Source organism: Homo sapiens, chromosome 4 (assembly GCF_000001405.40).
Source record: "Homo sapiens chromosome 4, GRCh38.p14 Primary Assembly".
In the NCBI taxonomy this organism is placed as follows: domain Eukaryota; kingdom Metazoa; phylum Chordata; class Mammalia; order Primates; family Hominidae; genus Homo; species Homo sapiens.
Genome location: NC_000004.12, coordinates 45,994,781 through 46,021,235, shown reverse-complemented (window position 1 = coordinate 46,021,235; position 26,455 = coordinate 45,994,781). Strand labels below are relative to the sequence as shown.

General features: G+C 35.9%; 1 pseudogene, besides 1 other annotated feature; it reads right to left on the bottom strand.

Annotated features, from left to right (window-relative positions):
• Positions 4,637–4,837: a silencer, noted in NCBI's record as "peak5030 fragment used in MPRA reporter construct". NCBI's record gives its function as "represses an SCP1 promoter by STARR-seq MPRAs in K562 erythroleukemia cells {active_cell/tissue: K562}" and the evidence as "EXISTENCE:reporter gene assay evidence [ECO:0000049][PMID:32103011]".
• RN7SKP199 (RN7SK pseudogene 199) lies at positions 25,868–26,117 on the bottom strand (annotated as a pseudogene).

The window sequence follows — 26,455 nt, the reverse complement described above, 5'->3', positions numbered from 1 at the left end:
TAGTTTAAAACTACTCACAGAAAATTTATTTTAAATTATGAAAATAAATATAACTAAGAAAACTGCAACTCTGTTGCATTACTGTGTAGAAGCAATACATTCTTACAGAAAGAATAATGAAATTCAGCAAACAAATAAAATTCAGCAAACATACTTCCATGGCTGACAGAGAATATTACGGGGTACATATTACCATGATCTTCTGAAATGGCAGTCCAAGTGTGTGATCAGCAATTCCTCACAGAAATCACGAAGATGTAGCTACAGAGAGCATTTTCCTGATGCTAGATATTCATTTCTGCAGGCTGAATATTTAGTATGACATCTTGTACAGTGGCAATTTAAAATAATATTGTTAGCTCAAGACTTAGAAAAAATATTATGGTAATAAATGTGCTCATATACGAATATATTTCTAACATTTCATGGAAAAGAGTTCAAAAAGAGCAATTTATTAATTATTTCTTTCTGGCAAATTTACCATTATTGAAGACATTTTAAATCAAGTAATATATTGAGGAAACATATACTAAAGGTTTTCAATAAATATTATTTTTTGCAATTTATAAAACTTAATTCCAAGTTGAATATCTAAGTGTATACGTCTTTCTCTCTAATTTTCTTTCCCACAAGAAAGTTTCATGCAGTATATGTTTTTCACAGCCAGCTGGAAAAGCATTTGAACTGTTTTTACTGAATTCTATTATTTGAAAAATTCCTTGCTGGAGATGAGGGCAAAGGTAAGAAATATAACCAGGTCAAAGAGAAAACTCGTTGTCAACATGGGATTAAATAATGGCAATGCTCGATACACGATTTCATTTAATTCCAGTACTACTGAAGGTCTTAATACTAGAGTTGTGTGTTTCAGGTCATATTGCTGGTAAATGGTAGAGTGAGATTTGAATTTAGATGAGGCTGGTGGCAAAACCAATATCCATGGTCTTTGCTCCAAATCACATATTATTTAATTTTATATTAACCTCAAATTAAATAGTGTGTATGTATGCACATGTGTGAGTTATTGCATGTGTGTAAACATCCTTCTTTTATGCTATGATATGGAGAACAATAAGAGAAATGTGTGGTTACTTCCATAAAAACAAAACAAAACAAAAACAACAAGAAGCAATTTACAGAAACATTAGGAACTGTGGCTGTGTATTTGAGATGTAATAAAAATAATGGAAGAGTTTTCTAAGTGAAATCGTTTTAGAATAATATTTTATTTCCAAATTAGTGAAATACCATAAACATCCTATTATCTCAAAATACATTAACAAAGTAATATATTGAAGCCAAATTTCCTTCAGCATTAATGAGAACAGCTATTAATGAACTAATGCTTTAAACAGTCATAAAAATCAAGAGCAATTTTAACAAGCTTCAAATTTTCTAATAAATTGAACAATTGAAATAATTAACATGTTTGTGATAATCACAAAGTACCTGAGGATTCTGGTTACTGTTTTTGTTCCTATTCAAATTTGTTGAAATATAATGATGATTTCTTTGGCAGTGATTTTAGTGGTCAGAAGCCACCAAAATCAAAGAAACATGTGAAAACTTTGGACTTGGCTTCTTTCCTTTGCCTCCCTGGATTATTCTATTATACTTCTAACTTTCAATGCTTACAAATAACTATAAAACATCTACACTGAATGTTCAACATTGAATTTCAATGGACATTTACACAAGGGTAGCTTAACTAGTTTCAAGTTATAAAATGCTTTTTGTTTTGTTTCTTTGGTTTATGAAACTCTGAACTCTGCTTCTAATAGTATTCATTTTATATATATTACACTTAGTATTTTTATAAAAACCACGAAAAAATGTTTAGTTAGAGCCAAACAAAACACCTTCCATCTACTCTATTCAATCACATTAAATCTATGATTACAGTTCTCATTTCCCAGTTCCCTCTCATTTGGATACAGTCCAAGTATTTTGAATCTCTTTTTGAAAATCTGAATCAAAAGTCCTTCCAATACCATCTGCTATTCATTACTTTTTCAGTAACTTTTTTCAGACAAAGGGTGACATCTTCCAGCCCTAAGAATAAGAGTAGAAACACTTGGACTCTTAAGATTCAACTTTCAAAACTAAGAACTACCAAAGCATTCAAAATACAGTTGATGTTATTGAGAATAACTAGATGATCTCATCTCACCAGAGAATCAATATATTTTTATTTATATTACTGGTTTCCAAACAATATATATGTTTTATTTATCCTTCTTATGTGTCCTCTTTGAAGTAAATACTAGAAGCTCATCCTATAAAAGAATTACTTCCTTTCTTGGTGCATATGTAGCAGTGAAGTACAGGGAAATATGTATCTTGTGATAGTTGGTTTCTTCAAGAAGATGAATCCAACATGCAAAGAGATATGTGAGAGATTCATTAGGAGGAATGCCAGAGAAGGATGAAAGAAACAGCCAGAGAAGACAGGAAGAGCCTCAGACTGTGATGCATGTCTAACACCTGTGATGGAAATGAAGAAAGAATTGGGTAGGAGGATTCTGTGACTGCAGCACAGCTCTAAGAAACGTTTGGTCAGGCCAATTAGGAGTCCTCAAGCCAATTCACCTGTGAGAGAAATACTGGGTCTCCTAGAAGTGTCTCAGAATTGTGATGCTCATCATGCTCATTCACTGACTGGGTACAACTTGAAAGAAAAGTATCCTCAGTACAAGCACTGTAGTAGATTCAGAGGGGAAGCAGTGTGGGTTACAGGTCAACTATGCTTTCCATGGCAGGAGATCTGAGTTGTACATTAGTATGGTTTTCACATATAAAATTCAGCACGATTTCTGAACTAAAGATTTAGCAAATAATATATCTTATTACTTAGTTTTTAACTTCCAGTGCTTTGGGTTTTTTTCTGTTTCCTCACATTCAATGATAGAACACTCAAGTCCCTTTTTTGTCTATAGATCATGTAGATGCCACTGATAGTTTATCAGTAAAAGCAAATGCTTCTCTGCATTTCAAAGCAGACTGAATAAGAATGTCTTAGAACATATTTCCCTATTATCTACTGGGTTAATATAATTCAGAAACTCCCTACACCATGTACATTAGAGATGTCAATCATGGCACCTGCTGTCCCTTGAAATTCTTTAAATACAGCTGATTGCAAATCAGAAATGACTTCCTGATCCAAGGGCAGCTATTCTTCTGAATATCCTATAATCCAAAATGATATTTTTGGATGTAAAATATAATCTTGGCAGTCTAATCCTCACTTTCAAGACTCTAAATTGGGAAACACACAGAAAATTATACATTCAGCAATGGGTACTGAAAATACAAGATCATGGTTCAGGAAAAAACCCATCCCCTGTGTAGCACATTTCAAAGACTTAAATCTGATTTGATTGATAACAGAATACAAAACTATGTCACATAATTATCCTTTACGTTTCTCCTGATATTCCACCTTTCTCTCCCTCTGCTGGTCTCCAGGTCCACTGGCTTTCTTTAACTCCTTTAAATGTTCCCAGTTCTTTCCAAGTCTGGAACTTTAAATATTCTGCTTCTTTAACAGTTTATCTGGTGGATCAATGTCTCTTGAGGCTAACTTCATATACTTGAGGCCACTCAGTCTAGTCCTAGAGTCAAGAAATACTTATGTGCAGATTTGGAATCCCTTCAAGATGACAGTTCCTAAACTCAATGCTGTAACTTCCATCATTTGCTTTCTGCTCTGGTATAATGGTGAGAGAAACAGTCAGATGGCAGCCTGATTATCATGCACAAAGTTGCTACCTGGAAGTGGTGGTAGTTAAAAATGTCTGAATAAACTCTCAATCAATGAGGAAAGGGAAGTTATGAATCAATGGTTCTTTCTGTGGTATCCCTCAAGTGGAAAATTATGGGAGGTATCCTATACACTTATCAGAAGATTATGGCAAGATGAAGCCCTTAATTGCTCATGGCTGAAACCAATTCCTCCTTCTTTTATTATTCTCTCTAGTCTTTGAGTTACCTGGAAAATGTTTACAGCATAGAAAACAGGCTGCGGAAGAAGATAACTTTAGTTGGAGAAAGGATATAGTTACCATTTATTGAAAACCTGTGACATAAGATGGGTTCAGTGGCCTATGCCTATAATCCCAGCACTTTTTGAGGTTGAAGTGAGAGACTGTTTTTGCATGTAAGAGATGATCTTGCAAATCTTAAACCCAGGAGTTTGAGACCAACGGGGGCAAATTTTGGAGATAACATGATGAGATTTGTTGAGTTTATTTTAATTTTTGGAGTCCTGATATATCTATATAGAGGTTTCCCAAACGCAATAGAAAATGTGGAAGAGGAATCAGAGCTGAAGAAGCACCTGCCAAAGTAGTAATCATATTAAATAAGATTCTACAACAGAAATATACATCACATGAAACAATTGTTAATAAATATCTTAAAAATAAAACTTTTGCATTTTAAATATTACTTAGTATATTCAGGTGTAAACTATGGGGGGCTAAAAGGTAAAAACATTATTCATTTTATAATAAATGTTGTTTCTAGACATTCACAGCAAGAAAAAACCTATTGTGGCATATCATTCATTAAATGCTCTTGATAAACAATGCTATCATCAGAAAAATCATTCATAAAGTCTTACTCTCCTAAATAATACATCACAGAAAATATTTAAATTGCATAGTGAGAAAAATTAATGATATGAATTGTTCAAATTAGTCAAAAACAAAATACATTTCAGCACCTTGGACAGAGGCACCCACCAAGTTTCTGCCTTAAAATGTTACCATACAGAGTGTTTTTTTCTTTTTTTTCTGTTAAAATACATTTTCCAGCTAGAAATCTGTCAAGTACTAGTACTTATCTCATAGCAAGGCTTTAAGAATTTATGGTACACATTAAATTAGTGTTATCTAATGTGTTTTCTTATTGTTTTCTTTGTTCCCCAAATATTCGTGTTATGAACATCTTTTCTTAGAAATATTTCATGGAAAACAATCCCTTTATCTTTAAAGTATTACCTATGCTATGCAATAATTCTATTTTAAAATATATAAAGCTTTCCCATATACATTGAATCAATTCTGAATCCTATCAAAACAGGTTTCCCAAGGGCAAGAACTTTTGTTCATTCATGTGAGTTACCTGTCATTATGTAAGTTACTTACCATTGTTTTCCACAGAAGAGTTTCTGGAACATGGTAGTCCTTACTACTGCATAAATTAATGAATTTGGATCTTACAAAAATGGAAGTCAACTGGCTACTGTTTATTAGTTTCATTTCACAGAATAAATAGTTACTTTATCTTCAAGTCTGTTTTTCCTTTTTCTTATCCTAGCTTGTCCCTCATAAGGCTTTTCTGGGCAATGTTCTTACCCTTGTCCAGCATTCTCTCTAAGATCTCTTCTGAGGAGGGGCATCAAATCAGCCATCAGAGATCAATTGAGGTTGGCCTCCAAGCTTCAATCACACTGTGAGACTAGCATCACAGCAAATAAAGATTAGTCTTTAGAATTAAATGTATCTAGGTTTGCAGCCAACGTCTATTACATAAAAGCTGCATAGACTTTAATGAGTAATATACTTGATCTGATACTCACTATTTTCATTTGTAAAATGACATTGTGCTATTAAGCATAGACCAGGCTATGCAGTGCCAACAAACAACCCCAAAATTTGAGGAAGAACTGTTTATTTCTCACTTCCATTGCCCATGAACCCTGTTCATTGTCGCTACTTAGGATATTCTGGCAGAGTAGCAACCAGTTAAATGTTGCTTGTCACTATACCAACTGTGGAAAAATGAACTCTCAAGAACTGGAAATATGTTGTAAACTAAATTAATGACCACTATTGCCATCGATACCTTGCATAGCTTTTAAAATAAAAGTTGGAGATAACCAGTTTCTCTCTCTCTCTCTCTCTCTTTCTCTCTATTTTTTAAGAGGTGAAGTGTCACTGTGTTGTCCAGGTTAGTCTCAAACTCCGAGGTTTAAGATTTTCAAGATTATCTTTTACATGCAAAAATATTCCCCCACCTGGACTTCCAAACATGCTGGGATTACAGGCATGAGACACCGAACCCAGACTATATCAAGTTTTTCAATAAATGCTATGAATATATCCTTTCTCCAACTAAATTTATCTTTTTCAGCAGGCTGTTTTCTATGTTATTCCTTAGATTTAGTAACAGAGGAGAGATCTTGTCTTTGGAAGGCCTCTGTTAAGCACTCATATACCTCTTTATAATGATGGGAGCTTTCTAGGGCTGCTTCATGGCTTCCTTCTGCTAAAATAAATAAGTTCAACTGAACAATAACTACTTACTTTGTGTGTGTCTTACTGTTTACAAGGTATATTAGGGATCTTATTTTATTATAATCTTCACAATGTTAAGAGATAGGCCAAAGGTATCACTAGCCCCATTGCACAGGTAATGAAATAAGAACTAATTATTGTTTGAAATTCAAAGAAATAGTAAAGTAGGGCCAAAGATTTGACTTTTTAAATCTAATTCCAGAGTTCACTCTGCCACAACACCATTCCTGTTTGATTAGTGAACTCTCCCTTTGGCCAGCTCAGATATCTAGCCCTGTAGTATGTGAGGAGAGAGAGAAGATTTCTGGTATAAGAGAAGTGCCTGGGTCCACAAGAAAAAAAAAAAGACCTTTGAATAAAGAAATATCTGAGGCCAGTGAGTCTGGTAGATAGCCAGGAAATAAAGGGGCAAAGACACTGAAAGCACTGAAAGATGGGAGGAGAGGCGTCAAACTTCCCTAAGCATAGTCTGCCTCTAGGCACACGGTAAACCCAATATATTCCACCAATAAGTTAACAAATGTAACACTGTAGTAAAACTAATATTGCAAGATTTAGTCACACAGCACCATATGTAAGTCATTTAAAACTATACATGCTAATTGATTCCCATAATAATGTGGCAATTAAGTTAACTTTAGAGATGAAGGATTTGGGACTCAGTGGTTTAGTGACATTAATAAAAATAACCAGCTTGCAAGTTGCAGAGTAGAAAATAGAACCAGATTTTGAAAACTATTCCCATTTAATTTCCTTTACATAAATTTCAGTGAACTTTAATTGTTATGTTTAAGATATTTTGGTCCTTTGACTCCTAATGATAATATTAAAAATATAATTAAGAATAATATTTGATGGGAGTCCGAGATGGGTGGATCACCTGAGGTCAGGAGTTCAAAACCAGCGTGGCCAACATGGTAAAACCCTGTCTCTGCTAAAAACACAAAAATTAGCCAGACGTGGTGGCATGCACCTGTAATCCCAGCTACTTAGGAGGCTGAGGCAAGAGAATCACTTGAATCCAGGAAGCAGAGGTTGCAGTGAGCTGGGATCTTGCCAGTGCATTCCAGCCTGGATACCAGAATAAGACTCTGTCCAAAATAATAATAATAATAAATAATAGAATAATATTTGAGTAATCTTAAAATTCTTATTCAATATAAGCTGCTATATAAAAGCTAATTTAATAGACACACTTTATTTTTAATAAGTGTATAAATAATATTTTTCTATGTATTTAGATTAAAATCAAAATTGTCCTTGAGTAAATTTCAGTATTTTATCTTAAGAAAAGCTTAGAACACACTATATGTTAATAAATAGATTTTAATGTAGATTAACCTTTGTTTACCAATTTTAGTACTGAAGAAGCTGTAAAAATATTTGAAAAAAATGATTAATTGCTGTTATATTTGAGTAATTTGTAGTTATAACACTGATATAGTTTGGATATTTGTCCCTGCCCAATTTTCATGCTGAAGTGTAATCTCAGGTATTGGAGGTGGGGCCTGGTGGGAGGTGATTGGATCACGGTGGTGGATTTCTCATGAATGGTTTAGCAATATCCCCTTGATTCTGCCCTTGCAATAGTGAGTGAATTATCACAAAATCTACTTGTTGTAAAGTGTGGCACCTTCCCCTGCTCTTGTTCTTGCTTTTGTCATGTGACATGCTTGCTCCTGCTTCACCTTCCACCATGCTTGTAAGATTCCTGAGGCTGCCCCAGAAGTCAAGCAGATGCTGGCATTATGTTTCCTATACAGCCTTCCAAACTATGCAGCAATTAAACCTCTTTTCTTTATAAATGGTGCACTCTTGGGTAGTTCTTTATAGCAATGCAAGAATGGCATAACACAAACACTAGGTGTCTTAGTTTGTTTTATGCTACTGTAACAAAATACCACTGGGATAAATACCCAGGCTGGGTAATTATAATGACTAGAAATTTATTGGCTCACAGTTCTGGAGATTCTGAAGTTCAAGAATGAGTGGGCAGCATCTGGCAAGGTCCTTCTTCCTGCATCACCCATAAAAACAAAGAGAGGGGAGAGAGAGAGAAAGAAAAGGGGACCAAACTTCAAACTTCACCTTTTATAAGGAATCTCTTATTGCAATAAGAGCATTATGCAATAAGAGCATTCATGAGGACAGATCCCTCATGGCCTAATCACCTCTTAAATGTCCCACCTCTTAACACTGTTAAAATAGCAATTAAAATTCAACATGAGTTTGGGAATTCAGTTTCCAACACATGCCTTTTGGGCGACACATTCAAACAACAGCACCTAGTTTGTGGCTTATCATTCATTCATTTGGGCTATAACTATTTAGTAATCTTGCCAGAAGAATTAACAGTAGAAAAAATAATAAATAAAATAAGATTTGTTTATTTATTAATTCATTAATTTCTGACCACAGCGTTAGTGGGAATATGACTGTATTAACAAATGGGCAGAAGAGCACTTGTCTACAAGAAGTGCTTATAGAATTTTTAGAACAACTACCTGAGCTAGAAAAATGTTAAGAAAATCATAATCCAGGTCAAATGCAGGACAAGACCGCAATATAAATTAAAGTTACACAGGGTTGGTAAAAAAGAAAAATATTGAATTTGTTCTGATAAAATATGTAAAATGATAATTTACACTATCAGGAGCTTAGCTGGGAGAAATAGCTGAGCTGCCAGGTGTTGGAGTAGCTAATTAAAGCAACAAGCCAAAAATGAGAGTTAAGCCTTTAATCACTTATTGCAATGGTATATGCAAGCATCTTAAACAAGAAAAACACATCAACTCTCCCTCCCTGCTCATTCCATTTCCTACCCACCACCATGAAATGGCACACTAAGGAATCAGCCAAGATGTGGGGGTCATCTGGCTTTTGAGGGAGCCAAGAATACAAAGCTCTAAAAGTTGTATGGACCCTGGGGCTGAGGAAGAAGTATGGGAGTTGAGGGATAGGAATGGACAAGTCCAGGGTCTGAATAAGGGTGAGAAAATGTGCCTTCATTTGTGTTCCCCCTCCTCCCCAAAATGAGGCCTATGCAGAGGCACTTGAAGAAGACCTCTGAGAAGGCCTCAGATAGGGAAGCCTGAGATTAAAGGCTCTGAGACTAGGACCACAAATATGAGAAAGAGTGTGACCAGCCAAAGGGGCCTGAGTCCTTGACATCAACTCCCCTTCCCTCAGAGGCTGCAAGGCACTGGCTGTGCCCCAATTCTGGCGTGAGGTGGACAGCTTTCCCCTGTGAGTCCTCCCAGGTAAAGTCTTTGTAATTGTGTATGGCCAGGCCTGAGAAATAGCATATAGCTTTTTAAGCAGTATCCAGACTCCTCATACATGCTATTCTCTTTCTGTGGAGCCAAAATGTATTCCATTTCTTTCTAATTCTAAAAAATAAAATGAATAGCAGTTCATAGGAAATGCAAGCAAGCAACTATTCTTTTACTCGACTTTCAAAGATATAGCTTTACTTTCAAGCATTGCAAATATGGGAATTGATAGATCTGATGAAGGAATTTAATCCTGTATTACATTTTTAGAGTATAGGAATTTATACTTAGATCTCAGTCCTTGGACTAGTTTCTCTATAATTCACTCTCTTTCTTGGTAGTTTTATCTAGTAAATGGTATCTAAATGGTAAAGACTCCCAAATTCATATATTTTCCATGAGCTCTACATCCAGCTGCCAACTTAACATATTTACTTAGTTGTCTAATAGGCATCATAAGCCTTCCTCAAACTCTAGATTTCCATCTCCTCAGACATGCACCTCCTTTAGTCTTCCTCATCTTAATGAAAAATAACTTCATCCTTCAATTTAGTTGTTCATGTTAAACAACCTGCAGTTGTCCCCGACTCCTACTTTTAATTCACACTTCTCATTCAATAAATCAGCAAATCTTGTTGGCTCTACCTAAAAATATGAAGATTATGGCAACTTTTTAGCACATCCAAACTTGATGGCAACACATCTGGATTGATATACTTTAATTTGCCTCCTCTATTCTCCATACCACCACGAGAGTGGCCTTTTGAAATGCATGCAAATCAGCTAATTTTAATTGTCTCCTTGAAACATTTTACAGTAGCATTCCCACTCCCCTTATTCAAGGTTTTGCCCTCAGTGGTTTCAGTTACCCACTGTCAACCATGGTCTCAAAGTATTAAATGGAATATTTCAGAAATAAATCACACATAAACTTTAAATCATGTGCCTTTCTGAGTAGTATGATGAAATGTTGTACCATCGCAGTCCATTCCACCCAGGACAGGAATCAACCCTTTGTCCCAAGTATCCACATTGTATATGCTACCCATCTGTTGGTCACTTAGTAACCATATGAGCTGCCAGAGCCACTCTCATGGTATAGCAGTGCTGTGTTCAAATAATCTTTAATTTACTGTTTTACTCAATAATGGCCCCAAAGCACAACATTAGTGATGCTGGTAATTTGGATATGCCAAAGCACTTCCTGTAAGTAAAAAGAGGAAAGATCTCAATAAGAAAAGAAAAAAAAAAAATTGCACGCTGTGGGTGCTAAGATATATGGTAAAAACAAATCTATCCATAAAACTGTGTAGAAGAAAAAAAAATATGTAGAGTATATACATAAATAAAAGTTCAGTACTACCTGTGGTTTCAGGTATTGACTGGGGATCTTGGAATGTGTCCTCTGTGGATAGGAGGGGACTACTATATTGGCTTCCTATCCCTTTTAGGTACAAATCCAAAATGCTTAAAATGGCCTGCAAATTTACTTGAAATAAACTCTTACTACCCTCTAGACTTAATCTATTTTCACTTTTCTCCTTACTCATCTTACTCTGGTGCCACTAGCTTCCTTGCAATTTGCTCAAATGCGCCACACCACTCCAGGCCAGGCTTAGTACTTGCTGTTCTCTCTGCCTTAAAAATGCTTCCTTATGATATCTTTATGACTAGCCTCCCCAATGTCTTCAGGTCTCTGTTCAAATATCACTTTATCAAGGAAGTCTTACAAATAAAGTCTCCTGAATAAAATAGCAACCTCTTTCCTCCCTTTCCACTCCAGTTGATAGTTGCTACCTTCATAGACTTTTCTCTGGGGTTTTTGGTGACAATTTTGAATGAATCAAATGAGTGGCCACAGATTCTTTTTCTACATTTTCTGTTACAGTGTTACTGCAAATGTTTTTATATAAAATTTTAATATGTAAAGCTATAGTGTTAAATATAAGGAGTGGTGTTAAATTATTTTGAATGTACGTTTTTCCAGTTTTTATTTTCACTAAGATAAACTTCTCAGTAATTTTCTTACCAAGTCAATATATGAAACAAAAGTTTACCTTTATATAAAACTAAAATTATCATAAGGATAAAAACTGATTTGTGAAATACTGCATTCAAGAGGAACAAGCTCCTCAAATACTCTTATTCATTCAGACACTTAAATTTATAGAAAATGTTCATTTTGTTTTTTTTCTGTGTCAAATTCTAGGTTAGTCATTCCATATGCAAAATTAAATTTAAGCAAATTTAACTATTTACCTTTTTCAGGAACTTGATTTGCCTAATTTAATCATAATTGTTTAGTCAATTAAGTAGGCCAGATGTTTATTTGGACATGCTAACATATACCTATATGGCAGCACTATTTAAAATTACTTCATACTTTATGTTTTGTAATAAGAGCTGATTATCTTTATCTTGATCTTTTTTTTTTTTTTTTTTTTTTTTTTTTTGAGACAGGGTCTTTCTCTGTCACCCAGGCTGAAGTGCGGTGGCATGATTTTGGCTCACCGCAACCTCTGCCTCTTGGGTTGAAGTGATTCTCGTGCCTCAGCCTTGAGAGGCATGTGCCACTTACAGTCATGTGCCACCTTGTCCAGATAATTTTTGACATTTTTAGTACAGATAGGATTTCACCACGTTGGCTAGCCTGGACTTGAACTTCTGACCTCAAGTGATCCTCCCACCTCAGCCTCCCAAAGTGCTGGGATTACAAGCAAGAGCAACAGCACCTGGTCAACAGCTGATTATCTTTAAGTGATTTTCCAGTGATTCTGATTTTTCAGCAATTCAGATAACATATCCTAATTCCACCTTAGTGAAGTTTGATATTATCATTTATATTTCTTCCTTGTAAAAGACTTCTTTGGGCCTTTTTAGAATAAAGCAAATTTGTTCTTGCAATATCTTATCAAGCTAACTGGCATAATTTTCTTCCATCTCTTTTGTTAGATGGAAATATTCATATTACAAGGACATAAACTCATAAAACATTTGTTATGATTATTAAATCATGAGGAACAGAATTATTTACACTATTTTTAAAGAAAGACTATATTTGTATCCCGTTGACTTCAAATATAGACAGTCTGATAACGGAAAATATTTATACTTTCTTTACTAATCAGTTTCTTCTATTCTTCTTCTATGTAGGGTTTCTTTAAAGCAATAATGAGTTCGGACAATTATACCTTATTATTTATGAGAAAATGAAGTTGTCTAGGTAGATGTTTTTAATAACATATGTTCTGGTTCTAGAGAATTCATTTTCAAATGCCTTGATATCTGACTTTCCTATTTCAGAGAAGCAAAGGAATTTGGTAAATCAAGGGATTAGCTAACCATTTTAATAAAACATGTGATCAGATTCATCTATTCTGAAAGTAGTCCAGTTTCTTTCTTTACTTTTTTGAACTTGTCACCTGATGTCAGCAGCATCAAAAGGTATCTCAAATTAGGTTTTTAAGTAGTGATAAGACATATGTTCATTATGACAGGAAACTGACTCAATTAAGTTTCGAATCATATCATTCTGTATATATCATATTCCAAAAATTACCAGATAAATTTATATTTCTATAACTAATGTTTAGTTTTAAGTCTCAAGTCAAAATTATCTAGTGGTCTTACACTACCTTCATAGAGGCTAAGAGAAAAAAGAGATATAAAAAAATGAAAAAAGGGCCCTTAATTATTGAAACTTACAATGTTATTAGGTGTTATGAGGACACAGTCAGCTAAATGTTATAAAATATCTTAGAATGTAAAAGTTACATTATCCTTCTAGTCAATCTTATAGAGACATGGTCAACATGGAAAAAATCAATGAATTCATAAAACTGCTATTAGAAACTTTTCTTATAAGATTCCTATTACTTCTTATAGGTTTCCTAATTTCTTTTCAACAACTTATCAAATATCGCCAACTGTTTTTAAATAATTAAAATGAATATAAAAGTACAGTTCATCAGATCATTAACAATAAAATGTTTAAACTAAACAACTATAACAGAGAAAAAAACATGGGGTATAGGTAAAATAGTCAATTTTATACTTGGATATTCTCTGCGGTTTGCTAAAATGATACCAAAAAAAAGAAAATTGGAATAGAACATATGGCACTCAGAATTCATTAAGACAATAGTTAATGACTCCAAAGATTAGAGATAGCAGTGGAGAATAAGCTACACAATTTAAATAACTGGGCAAAATGTTACTAGAAATTTGAAGTCACATCCTTACATTTAGAATATTTGGAGCGGGGGAATAAAACCACCAGCATTGCATCCAGACTGTAATAAAACTTTTCTACAAAAACATATTATTTTATATTTGAGTGGGCTGCATAATAAATTATTGTTCATAATTTTACTTACAAAGAATTAAGTTATAAGTAATGTAGAAAAAATGCTCTATAAAAGATCATTCTTGCCTGAATTTATTCTTATTATGAAATATGTAGAATGGTAATTTTTCTACAATTGTAGAAATTGTAATTTTTACATTTATTAATTGATATTCTACTGTATGGAAAAGCTTTTCTTTATTTCTGAATTTGTATGCTTGGTTTTTACTACCAACGTGTATTTTCCAGCATTCTAAGGCCTGAGAAACAGAAAAGCCAAGGCAGTGTGTTCCAGTCTGAAAGCTGGCAGGCTCAAGACTCAAGAACTGATGTTTCAGTTTGAGGCTGAAGACAGGAAATAAATAAATAAATAAATAAAAATTCAGCTCAAGAAGTCAGGCAGGAGTTCCCTCTTACTCCTTGGGGGAGGGGGCAATCTTTCTGTCCTCTTGGGGTTTGCAATTGATTGCATGAAACCCGCTCATATTACAGAGGACAAGCTACTTTATTTAGTATACTGATTTAAATGTTCATCTCGTCCAGAAACGTTCTCACACACATACAAAAATAGGACAGAAAACCGCATGTTCTCACTCATAAGTGGGAGCTGAACAATGAAAACACATGGACACAGGGAGGGGAACAACACACACCGGGGCCTGTTGGGGGATGGGAGACTGGGGGAGGGATAGCATTAGAAGAAATACCTAATGTAAATGACGAGTCAATGGGTGCAGCAAACCGACATGTATATTTATGTAACAAACCTGCACGTTGTTTACATGTACCCCAGAACTTAGAGTATAATAAAAAAATAATAATAATAAAAAATAGTGTTTGACCAAATAAATGTCCGGGCACCCTGTGGCCAGTAAAGTTTACCAATAAAGTTAGCCATCACAACAAGTGAAATATAAATGTGTTTATGTTTCGTGTGTTATAATTCATAACTTTATTTATTATGAAGACTTACCTTCCCAGGTTTTCTCAGTGGGAGATTTGTCAAACTTGTTCTTGTGTATTTGAACTTTAATCTTCCTTTTTGATTGATTGTAATAGTTTCTGGCACAATAAGATATTCCAGAATTATTTCATACTTGTCCTGGAATACATCATTTATCCAAGTACTTAGGTTTTACTTTTAATGGGGAACAGCATTTAGAAACCAAGTTATAGTGGCAAGGTGTGCTTATTGTCACCGGAGTTTCTTTGTTTCCATATCCTTTTACGGTGCAGAAGTAGAAATTATACCGTGTGTGTGTATTGTAAGACTGAGCAAATGAGTAAATACAGTGATATTGGGAGTCAGGGTTCCAATTTTGGGAGAAAAGTTAAATACAGAATAGAGAAAAATAACGTATTGTATTGAACTGGCATTAAATATATCAGCCTAAAATTATTTTTCTCATTTGAAATTTTTTTTCTGTAAAGACTTTAACTTTTGAACTCATCTCAGTTTTCTCAATTAATAGATTATTGCTTTCACTTCCATTGAAAAAAATGAAATTTTTCTAAGTATTTTTAATAACTTTATTTTCATAACATTTTGAACAACAGATTTTGTAGTCATTAGAAAATATTGCATCCTCTTTCTCCCATCTGGAGGCAGATAAAATGCACAACAGCATTTGAAAGCTAAAAAGTCTGACAATAAAGGAACATGTCTAACCAATTTTCCCAAACTATTTTTATCACAGAATACTTTTCTCCTTTTGCAAAGAGGAAGTCCAATCAAACTGGTATGACACAGAATACATTCTGAGAAATGCTCTTCTAGCTTATTTCTGTAGAGATATGTTTTCACATTTGTCAATGTGGCCCTTAAGCAGAAGGAGCAAAGCTAAAGGGAACATACACTTTTCATACATGCAAACTGTACACAAATTTTTATGCTGCCTTGAATGAAAAGGCATCCAAGGATGAGTTTTTCTGGAATGATCCAAAGGAGATTTGAGTCAAGATATGTTAATGATGCTCTTCACTGTCTTGAGCTTATAGCATGTACATGATGGTCCCATATACATTAGGCAATCCTAGTGTCTGGTTTAGTAATCATTTCAATAGAGCCTCTCATTTTAAAACCAAATGTAGGGTCAAATAAATTGTTTCCTCCTTAGTCCTGAAGCATTTGTCTTTCATTATGTAACAGCAATGATTTCAGTATATGAACACTTGGACTTACAGTGTGACAAACATTACTATATGCCTAGAGCTGCATTCACCATACATACACCTCTGTTGCCGAAAAAATTGCTTCATGCTTACATCAATCAGGAGTTGTTTCAGAGGTAGAAATTAAAGTTAGTAGTCATGTGTCACTTAACCAAGGGAACACCTTCTGAGAAATGCATCATTATGCAATTTCATCCTTGTGTGAACATTGTAGAGTGTACTTACACAAACCTCAATGATATAGGCTACTCCACTATATAGCTTCAGTATAATCTTATGAGAACATGGACAAGTAGTCGTCCTTGGCGAAAATGTCCTTATGCAGTGCATGACCATAATATAATTATTGTTAAAGGCCATGCTCACTATTGTGTTATACAAATTAAAATTCACAGAAACCCTTTGTATATTTTAGATAGACATATTATTTATTTTGTGAAATAGGAAAGATAAGTCCAAGCCAATGTTTCTTAAAACTATATAATATTTTTAATAAATGAGAGGATACACAATTTAAGTGATTTAATCTGTTTTACGGTTTTGTTTGTCTCCTGGTTTTAAATAAATACTTTTGAACCACATTAAAAGCTGCATAAACCATTATCTCAAATTTCTCTCAGCACTCAATAAGCACAAAAACTTAACACAATTCTCAAATATATGTACCTTTGTATTATATCTGGTACTGCATTTATTTAATACAGATGGCACTGCATTTTCAGTTTTTGTTTTCAAAGTGCGTATTCACTCTGAAAATACTCAGCCCTTACTATTTGCTATATACAATATATGTTAGATGTTTAGAATACCAGATACATGGGCCTGGTCATCAAGATTGCTTATAGTATAAAAGGAAATTGGGCATGTAATGAAATGTTACAGCAGCCATAAGAGGAAGAAGAATAAATTATTGTAGGAATATAGAGATTAGTGTCATCTATAATATTTGGAAAAACTTATGATTTTCTGAATTTTCATTAACAATTTCATATTAAACCATATAAGCTAAAATTCTATGAAGATAGGTGCAGAGTATATTCTAAAATTTAGGAAAACACTAATACGTAAATTAGAAAATTTTAAACATGAAAATATTGAATTTCCATATATGAGCTTCAGAATGTTGGCAAAAAAGATGTCCCTCCTCGGTAATGGGTGACAGATGTCCTGGAAGGAACCTCACTCAATATCGTGAGTATTGGTACGTAACACTTCTTTCATGCATTTTTAGTTCTAGTTCAAGGACAGGATTTAAAGAATACCATAGACTTCCAGCAGAGTGGCTTTAGCAGTAACATGAGGTTGTTGGATTATTCAATTCTTAAAGGACCTTTGAAGTTTATGATTCATATATATCTCTATATCGATCCATATCATCTCTATATCTATGTAATCATAACACCAATAAATATAAACAGGGCGGAATGCAGATGGCTGGCAAGATGGCTGAATAGGAACAGCTCTGGTCTGCAGCTCCCAGTGAGATCAATGCAGAAGGCAGGTGATTTCTGCATTTCCAACTGAGGTACCCGGCTCATGTCACTGGGACTTGTTAGATAGTGGGTGCGGCCCGTGGAGGGTGAGGCAAAGCAGGATGGGGACTCGCCTCGACCTGGGAAGCACAAGGAGTCAGGGAACTGTCTCTCCCTAGCCAAGGGAAGCCCTGAAGGACTGTGCCACGAGGAGTGGTGCACTCCAGCCCAGATACTATGCTTTTCCCATAGTTTTTGCAATCTGTAGACCAGAAGATTCCCTCAGTTTCCTGCACCACCAGGCCCTGGGTTTCAAGCACAAAACTGGGCAGCCATTTGGGTAGACACTGAGCTAAGCGTGGCACCTGGAATGCCATTGATAAACAACCATTCACTCCCCTGGAAAGAGGGATGAAACCAGGGAGCCAAGTGGTCTAGCTCAGCAGATCCCACCCCCATGGAGCGCAGCAAGCTGAGATCCACTGGCTTGAAATCCTCATGGCCAGCACAGCAGTTTGAAGTCGACATGGGATGCTTGAGCTTGGTGGGGGGAGAGGGGTCCACCATTACTGAGGCTTGAGTAGGTGATTTTCCCCTCACAGTATAAACAAGGCCACAGGGAAGTTTGAACTGGGCAGAGCCCATCGCAGCTCAGCAAAGCCACTGTAGCCAGACTGCCTCTCTAGATTCCTCCTCTCTGGGCAGGGCATCTCTGAAAGAAAGGCAGCAGCCCCAGTCAGGGGCTTATAAATAAAACTCCCATCTCCCTGGGACAGACAACCTGGGGGAAGGGGCGGCTGTGGGTGAAGCTTCAGCAGACTTAAATGTTCCTGCCTGCTCGCTCTGAAGAGAGCAGCAGGTCTCCCAGCACAGTGCTGGAGCTCTGAAATGGGACAGACTGTCTTCTCAAGTGGGTCCCTGACCCCTGTGCTTCCTGACTGGGAGACACTTCATACAGACACATCATACAGGAGAACTCCGGCTGGCATCTGGAGGGTGTGCCTCTGGGATGAACCTTCCAGAGGAAGAAACCAGCAGCAATCTTAGCTGTTCTGCAGCTTCTGCTGGTGAAACCCAAACAAACAGGGTCTGGAGTGGACCTCCAGCAAACTCCAGCAGACCTTCAGCAGGGGGGCCTGACTGTTAGAAGGAAAACTAACAAACAGAAAGGAGTAGCATCATCATCAACAAAAAGATGTCCACACAAAAACCCCATCCGAAGGTCACCAACATCAAAGACCAAAGGCAGATAAATCCAGGAAGATGAGGAAATACCAGCATAAGAAGAAAATTCCAAAAACCAGAACACCTCTTCTCTCCAAAGGAACACAACTCCTCACCATCAAGGGAACAAAACTGGACAGAGAATGAGTTTGACAAATTGACAGAAGTAGGCTTCAGAAGGTGGGTGATAACAAACTCCTCCAAGCTAAAGGAGCATGCTCTAACCCAATGCAAGGAAGCTAAGAACCTTGAAAAAAGGTTAGACAAATTGCTAACTAGAAAAACCAGTTTAGAGAAGATCATAAATGACCTGATGGAGCTGAAAAACATAGCATGAGAACTTCCTGAAGCATACACAAGTATCAATAGCCGAATTGATTAAGTTGAATAAAGGATATCAGAGATTGAAGATCAACTTAATGCAATAAAGTGTGAAGACAAGATTAGAGAAAAAGGAATGAAAAGATACAAACAAAGCCTCCAAGAAATATGGGACTATGTGAAAAGACCAAACCTATGTTTGATTGTACCTGAAAGTGACGGAGAGAATGGAACCAAGTTGGAAAACACGCTTCAGGATATTATCCAGGAGCATTTCCCCAACCTAGCAAGACAGGCCAACATTCAAATTCAAGAAAAACAGAGAACACCACAAAGAAGTCCATGAGAATAGCAACCCCAAGACACATAATCATCAGATTCACTAAGGCTGAAATGAAGGAAAAAATGTTAAAGGCAGCCAGAGAGAAAGATCAGGTTACCCACAAAGGGAAGCACATCAGACTAACAGCAGATATCTCTTCAGGAACCCTACAAGCCAGAAGAGAGAGGGGGCCACTATTCAACATTTTTAAAGAAAAGAATTTTCAACCCAAAATTTCTAATCCAGCTAAACAAAGTCCTTTACAGGCAAGCAAATGCTGAGAGATTTTGTCACCACCAGGCCTGCCTTACAAGAGCTCCTGAAGGAAGCACTAAATAGGGAAAGGAAAAGCCCATACTAGCCACTGCAAAAACATATCTAACTGTAAAGACCATTGACATTATGAAGAAACTGCCTAAACTAATGGGCAAAATAACCAGCCAGCATCATAATGACAGGATCAAATTCACACATAACAATATTAACCTTAAATGTAAATGGGCTAAATGCCCCAATTAAAAGATATAGACTGGCAAATTGGATAAAAAGTTAAGACCCATTAGTGTGCTATAGTCACAAGACCCATCTCACGTGCGAAGACACACATAGGCTCAGAATAAAGGGATGGTACCAAGCAAATGGAAAGCAAAAAAAAAAAAAAAAAAAAAAAAAAATTCAGGAGTTGCAATCCTAGTCTCTGATAAAACAGACTTTAAACCAACAAAGATCAAAAAAGACAAAGAAGGGCATTACATAATGGTAAAGTGATCAATGCAATAAGAAGAGCTAACTATCTTAAATATAAATGCACCCAATACAAGAGCACCCAGATTCATAAAGCAAGTCCTTAGAGACCTGTCAATATTAGACAGATCGACGGGACAGAAAATTAACAAGGATATTCAGGACTTCTTTAACTCAGCTCTGGACCAAGTGGACCTAACAGACATCTACAGAACTCTCCACCCCAAATAAACAGAATATACATTCTTCTCAGCACCACATCGCATTTATTCTAAACTGACCACATAAGTGGTCAAAACACTCCTCAGCAAATGCAAAAGAATGGAAATCATAACAAACATTCTCTTAGACCACAGTGCAATCAAATTAGAATTCAGGATTAAGAAACTCACTCAAAACCACACAACTACATGGAAACTGAACAACCTGCTCCTGAATGACTGCTAGGTAAATAACGAAATTAAGGCAGAGATAAATAAGTTCTATGAAACTACCGAAAACAAAGACACAATGTACCAGAATCTCTGGGACACAGTTAAAGCAATGTTTAGAGAGAAATTTATAGCACTAAATCCCCACAGAAGAAAGCAGGAAAGATTGAAAATCAACACCCTAACATCACAATTAAAAGAGAAGCAAGAGCAAACAAATTCAAAAGCTAGCAGAATTCAAGAAATAACTAAGATCAGAGCAGAACTGAAGGAGACAGAGACACGAAAAATCCTTCAAAAAATCAATGAACCCAGGAGCTGGTTTTTTGAAAAGATTAACAAAATAGATAGTCCGCTAGCCAGACTAATAAAGATGAAAAGAGAGAAGAATAAAATAGACACAATAAAAAATGATAAAGGGGATATCACCAACGATCGCACAGAAATACAAAGTGCCATCAGAGAATACTATAAACACTTCTACCCAAATAAACTAAAAAATCTAGAAGAAATGTATGAATTCCTAGACACATATACCCTCTTAAGACTAAACCAGGAAGAAGTCGAATCCCTGAATAGACCAATAAAAAGTTTTGAAATTGAGGCAGTAATTAATAGCCTACCAACCAAATAAAGCCCAGGACCAGACAGATTCACAGCCAAATTACACCAGAGGTACAAAGAGCAGTTGGTACCATTCCTTCTGAAACTATTCCAAACAATTGAACAAGAGGGACTCCTTCCTAACTCATTTTAAGAGGCCAGCGTCATCCTGTTACCAAAACCTGGCAGAGACACAACAAAAAAAGAAAATTTCAGGCCAATATCCCTGATGAACATGGATTTGAAAACCCTAAAAAAAATACTGGTGAACTGAATCCAGCAGCACATCAAAAAGCTTATCCAACACAATCAAGTTAGCTTCATCCCTGGGATGCAAGACTGGTTCAGCATAATACAAATAAATAGATATAATCCCTCACATAAACAGAACCAATGACAAAAACAACATGATTATCTCAATAGATGCAGAAAAGGCCTTCAGTAAAATTCAACACCCCGTCATGCTAAAAACTCTCAATAAACTAGGTATTGATGGAATGTATCTCAAGATAATAAGAGCTATTTATGAAAAAATGGAATGTATCTCAAGATAATAAGAGCTATTTATGAAAAAACCCACAGCCAATATCATATTGAATGGGCAAAAACTGAAAGCATTCTTTTTGAAAGTCAGCACAAGACAAGGATGCCCCCTCTCACCACTCCAATTCAACATAGTTTTGAAAGTTCTGGCCAGGGTACTAAGTCAGGAGAAAGAAATAAAGAGTATTCAAATAAGAAGAGAGGAAGTAAAATTGTCTCTGTTTTCAGACGACATGATTGTATATTTAGAGACTCCCATCATCTCAGCCCAAAATCTCCTTAAGCTGATAAGCAACTTCAGTAAAGTCTCAGGATAAAAAAATATGTGTGCAAAAATCACAAGCATTCCTATACACCAATAATAGACAAACAGAAGACTAAATCCTGAGTGAAGTCCCATTCACAATCGCTACAAAGAGAATAAAATACCTAGGAATACATCTTACAAGAGATATGAAGGACTTATTCAAGGAGAACTACAAACCACTGCTCAAGGAAATAAGAGACGACACAAACAAATGGAAAAACATTGCATGCTCATGGATAGGAAGAATCAGTATCGTGAAAATAGCCATACTGCCCAAAGTAATTTATAGATTCAATGTTATCCTGATCAAGCTACCATTGACTTTCTTCACAGAATTAGAAAAAAACTACTTTAAATTTCATATGGAACCAAAAAAGAGCCCATATAGCCAAGACAGTCTTAAGCAAAAAGAACAAAGCTGGAGGCATCACGCTACCTGGCTTCAAACTATACTACAAGCCTACAGTAACCAAAACAGCATGTACTGATACCAAAACAGATATATTGACCAACGGAACAGAACAGAGGCCTCAGAAATGACACCACACATCTACAACCATCTGATCTTTGACAAACCTGACAAAAATAAGCAATGCGGAAAGGATTCCCTACTTAAAAAATGGTGTTGGGAAAACTGGCTAGCCATATGCAGAAAACTGAAAATTGACCCTTTCCTTACACCTTATGCAAAAATTAACTCAGGATGGATTGAAGACTTAAACATAAGACCTAAAACCATAAAAATCCTAGAAGAAAACCTTGCCATTTCCATTCAGGATATAGGCATGGGCAGACTTCATGACTAAAACACCAAAAACAATGGCGACAAAAGGCAAAATTGACAAATGGGATCTAATTAAACTAAAGAGCTTCTGCACAGCAAAAGAAATGATCATCAGAGTCAACAGGCAACCTACAGAATGGGAGAAAATTTTTGCAGTCTATCCATCTGACAAAGGGCTAATATCCAGAGTCTACAAATAACTTAAACAAGTTTACAAGAAAAAAACAAACAACCCCTTCAAAAAGTGGCCAAAGGATATGAACAGACACTTCACAAAAGAAGACATTTATGCAGCCAACAAACAGATGAAAAAAAGCTCATCATCACTGGTTATTAGAGAAATGCAAATAAAAACCACAATGGGATACCATCTCACGCCAGTTAGAATGGTGATCATTAAAAAGTCATGAAAAAACAGGTGCTGGGGAGGATGTGGAGAACTAGAAATGCTTTTACACTTTTGGTGGGAGTGTAAATTAGTTCAACCATTGTGGAAGACAGTGTGGCAATTCCTCAAGGATCTAAAACCATAAATACCATTTGACCTAGCAATCCCATTACTGGGTATAGACCAAAAGGATTATAAATTATTCTACTATAAAGACACATGCACACGTATGTTTATTGCAGCACTGTTAACAATAGCAAAGACTTTGAACCAACACAAATGCCCATCAATGATAAACTGTGTAAAGAAAATGTGGCACATATATACCATGGAATACTATGCAGCCATAAAAAGGATGAGCTCATGTCCTTTGCAGAGACATGGATGAAGCTGGAAACTATCATTTTCAGCAAACTAACACAGGAACAGAAAACCAAACACTGCATGTTCTCACTCATAAGTGGGAGTTGAACAGTGAGAACAAATGGACACAGGGAGGGGAAGATCACACACCAGGGCCTGTTAGGGGGTGGGGGGCTATGGGAGGGATAGCATTAGGAGAAATACCTAATGTAGATGATGGGTTGATGGGTGCAGCAAACCGCCATGGCACGTGTATACTTATGTAACAAACCTGCACATTCTGCACATGTATCCCAGAACTTAAAGTATAACTTAAAAAAAAAAAAGAAGTGTGTCCATGCAGGGTGTGGGCCAGCTCCAGTGGATCATTGGAATGGAGAAATTTTGACAACCAGGTGGAAACAAAATATATTGGCCTTTGTTGAGAAAGAACAAATACAGCAGGGCAGAGTTGGGGGAGGGCTATACATAAACGAGAAGGTCAAGTGGGGAGTCTAAGGTAGTTCTGTCTACATTACCAATAAAAAAGACAGAAACTTGAATATTCTTTCAGATATTATTAAAAATCTTTGCTCTGATTTTCATGCGGCAACGCAGGAGAACCAAACACCTACCCTTACAACTTCTTTCTTTGTTAAACTGTACACATGCAGAGCAAAGAGCTGAAAGTCAACCTTGAAGAAGCCACCCTCTCCAGACAGGGCAAGAGGTCCCTCTTTTTTCTTTGATGAAGGGTTCCTGGGTGAAGGGAAAAACATCCCACATATGTGAATGAAATCCCATTGGTATGAAATTTGTGCAAGAAACTGGAAGGAGGCAGTTTTCATGTGGTTTGGGGTTTACTGATGAAAATTTCACACTGTTCTAGTTTGTTCCTTTCCCCTAGGAATCTTCATAAGTATGCCTGTGTAAAGCAGTTCTGAGCAGACATTTCAGTTTATTTGCTTTCCTTTCTTTCTCCTGTGGCTGCTTTTAATCTTTCTCTTTCAAATTCATGCAGCCTGGTCCCTCATAGCTGTGTTAAGTTAAATTTTTATTGCATTACTCTCAATGACCATGGTAGAAATGGGATGACCCCTTTCATTATATCACATCAGCTAAACACTCAGGGGTGAAATTTTCTATCAGAAAGCTTACTTGTGTCCATCTAGCTCAACATCATTAATTGCTTGAAGATCAAAGTGAGGATCAAAGAGGATGAGTGAGATTGACTTGTCTACTTCAACTAACCCTAGTGAATTGAAGCTGCCACTATCTCTTCCCTTGTTTACTATGACATCTACCAAATGGGTATCATTGCCTTTAGATTTGTCTTTTTCAGCAAACTCTCCACATTGATGAATGAGTACTCATTAAAAAATGTACTCTTCATGCTGTAAAATCTCCAAATGGTTTCCCATTGCAGAAACAACAACAACAACAACAACAACAACAACAACAACAACAACAAAAACTCCTTATTTTCCATGACAAGACTGTGACTGATCTGGCCACTTAGGATTATCCAGCTTGAACTCTTCTTATCTCTCCTTCTCAAGTGCTATCCTCCAGCTCCACTGACCTCACCATGTTCTTGCATGCCTCTGGGCTTTGACAAGTACTGATCTCTTGATTTTTATGGAAGACCTCCTTCCCTGGAAATCTAACTCTTACAGAATGCAGGACAGAACTAAAATGTCACTAATACCTCCTTTATAATGCCTTCGTTCCATGCACCATATTCCCCAAATTCCACTTAGCAATTATAATTGTGCATTGGAAATATTTTAGTGTATATTTGTCCACTAGACTGTGAGCTCCACTGGGGCAGAGTTTTTATATGTTCTAGTTAACTAAACTCTGCAATTAGCGCAGAATCTGAGACACAATGGATTCATAATATCTGTCTATAAAATAAAATCAAAACTGGAAAATTATTTTCCACCTTTCCAGTTTAATGCTCTTTCCATTGTCCCATATATTTTGGTTTACCTATAATTCCAATAATTTAATTGTACAAATTATGTTACATTATCACTTGCCTAAGGCTTTTTCAATCTAAAAGCAAAAATTACAAATTATAAAATGTTATTTTTAGGTCACATAAACATTTTATCTCTCATGATAGATATTGCCAAAAAGATTGCAAAAATGTTTATTACAAATTTATATTCCCTCCAGCATTAGGCAAAAATGCCCTTTTCCGTGTAAACTCCCTGCATAATATATTATTGTATTTTTAATATAGTTGCTACTTTGAAAGGTAAAAGAATTTTTAAAGTTTTTTTTTTTTCATCGTACATTTCTTGAGAGCTTGTTTGGAGGTTCTAGCAAGGGAGCACAAGTAATCATATACCCTTTACTGAAGACTCATCCTCATCTATTGAGGATGGTCGTCTTCTTTGACCCAGCATGCAGCTTTGGGAGGCATGCACAAGGAGTGGTGAGGGAGGAAGGGGACACCTGCCTAGCCAGCCAGATCAGCCATATTTACCCTAGTGATCAATGAGGTGACAGATGTCGCAGCCTGATTGCCCTAACATCCTCATTGTACATTTCTGTGTGTACTCATGAGCCTTACTTTTTTCCATAAACAATATATTTCTTCCTTTTTGAATTAACTATTTATGTCTTTTCTCCATTAATCTATTTTAAGTATTTCAAATAGATTTATGAGAAAAAAATGTAATAAAAATTGTCATATTTATTGCAAATATTTATTTTGTTTTGTTCTTCATATTGACTTTAGACGTTGAGAATCATTTTGAGTACTTTTTGCATATTATTGCTCATCCATGTGCTTTAACTATATTAACATATTTTATCTTCATAACAGCCTCTCTAATTGTATCCTGTTATTATTCTTATTTTAAATATAAGGAA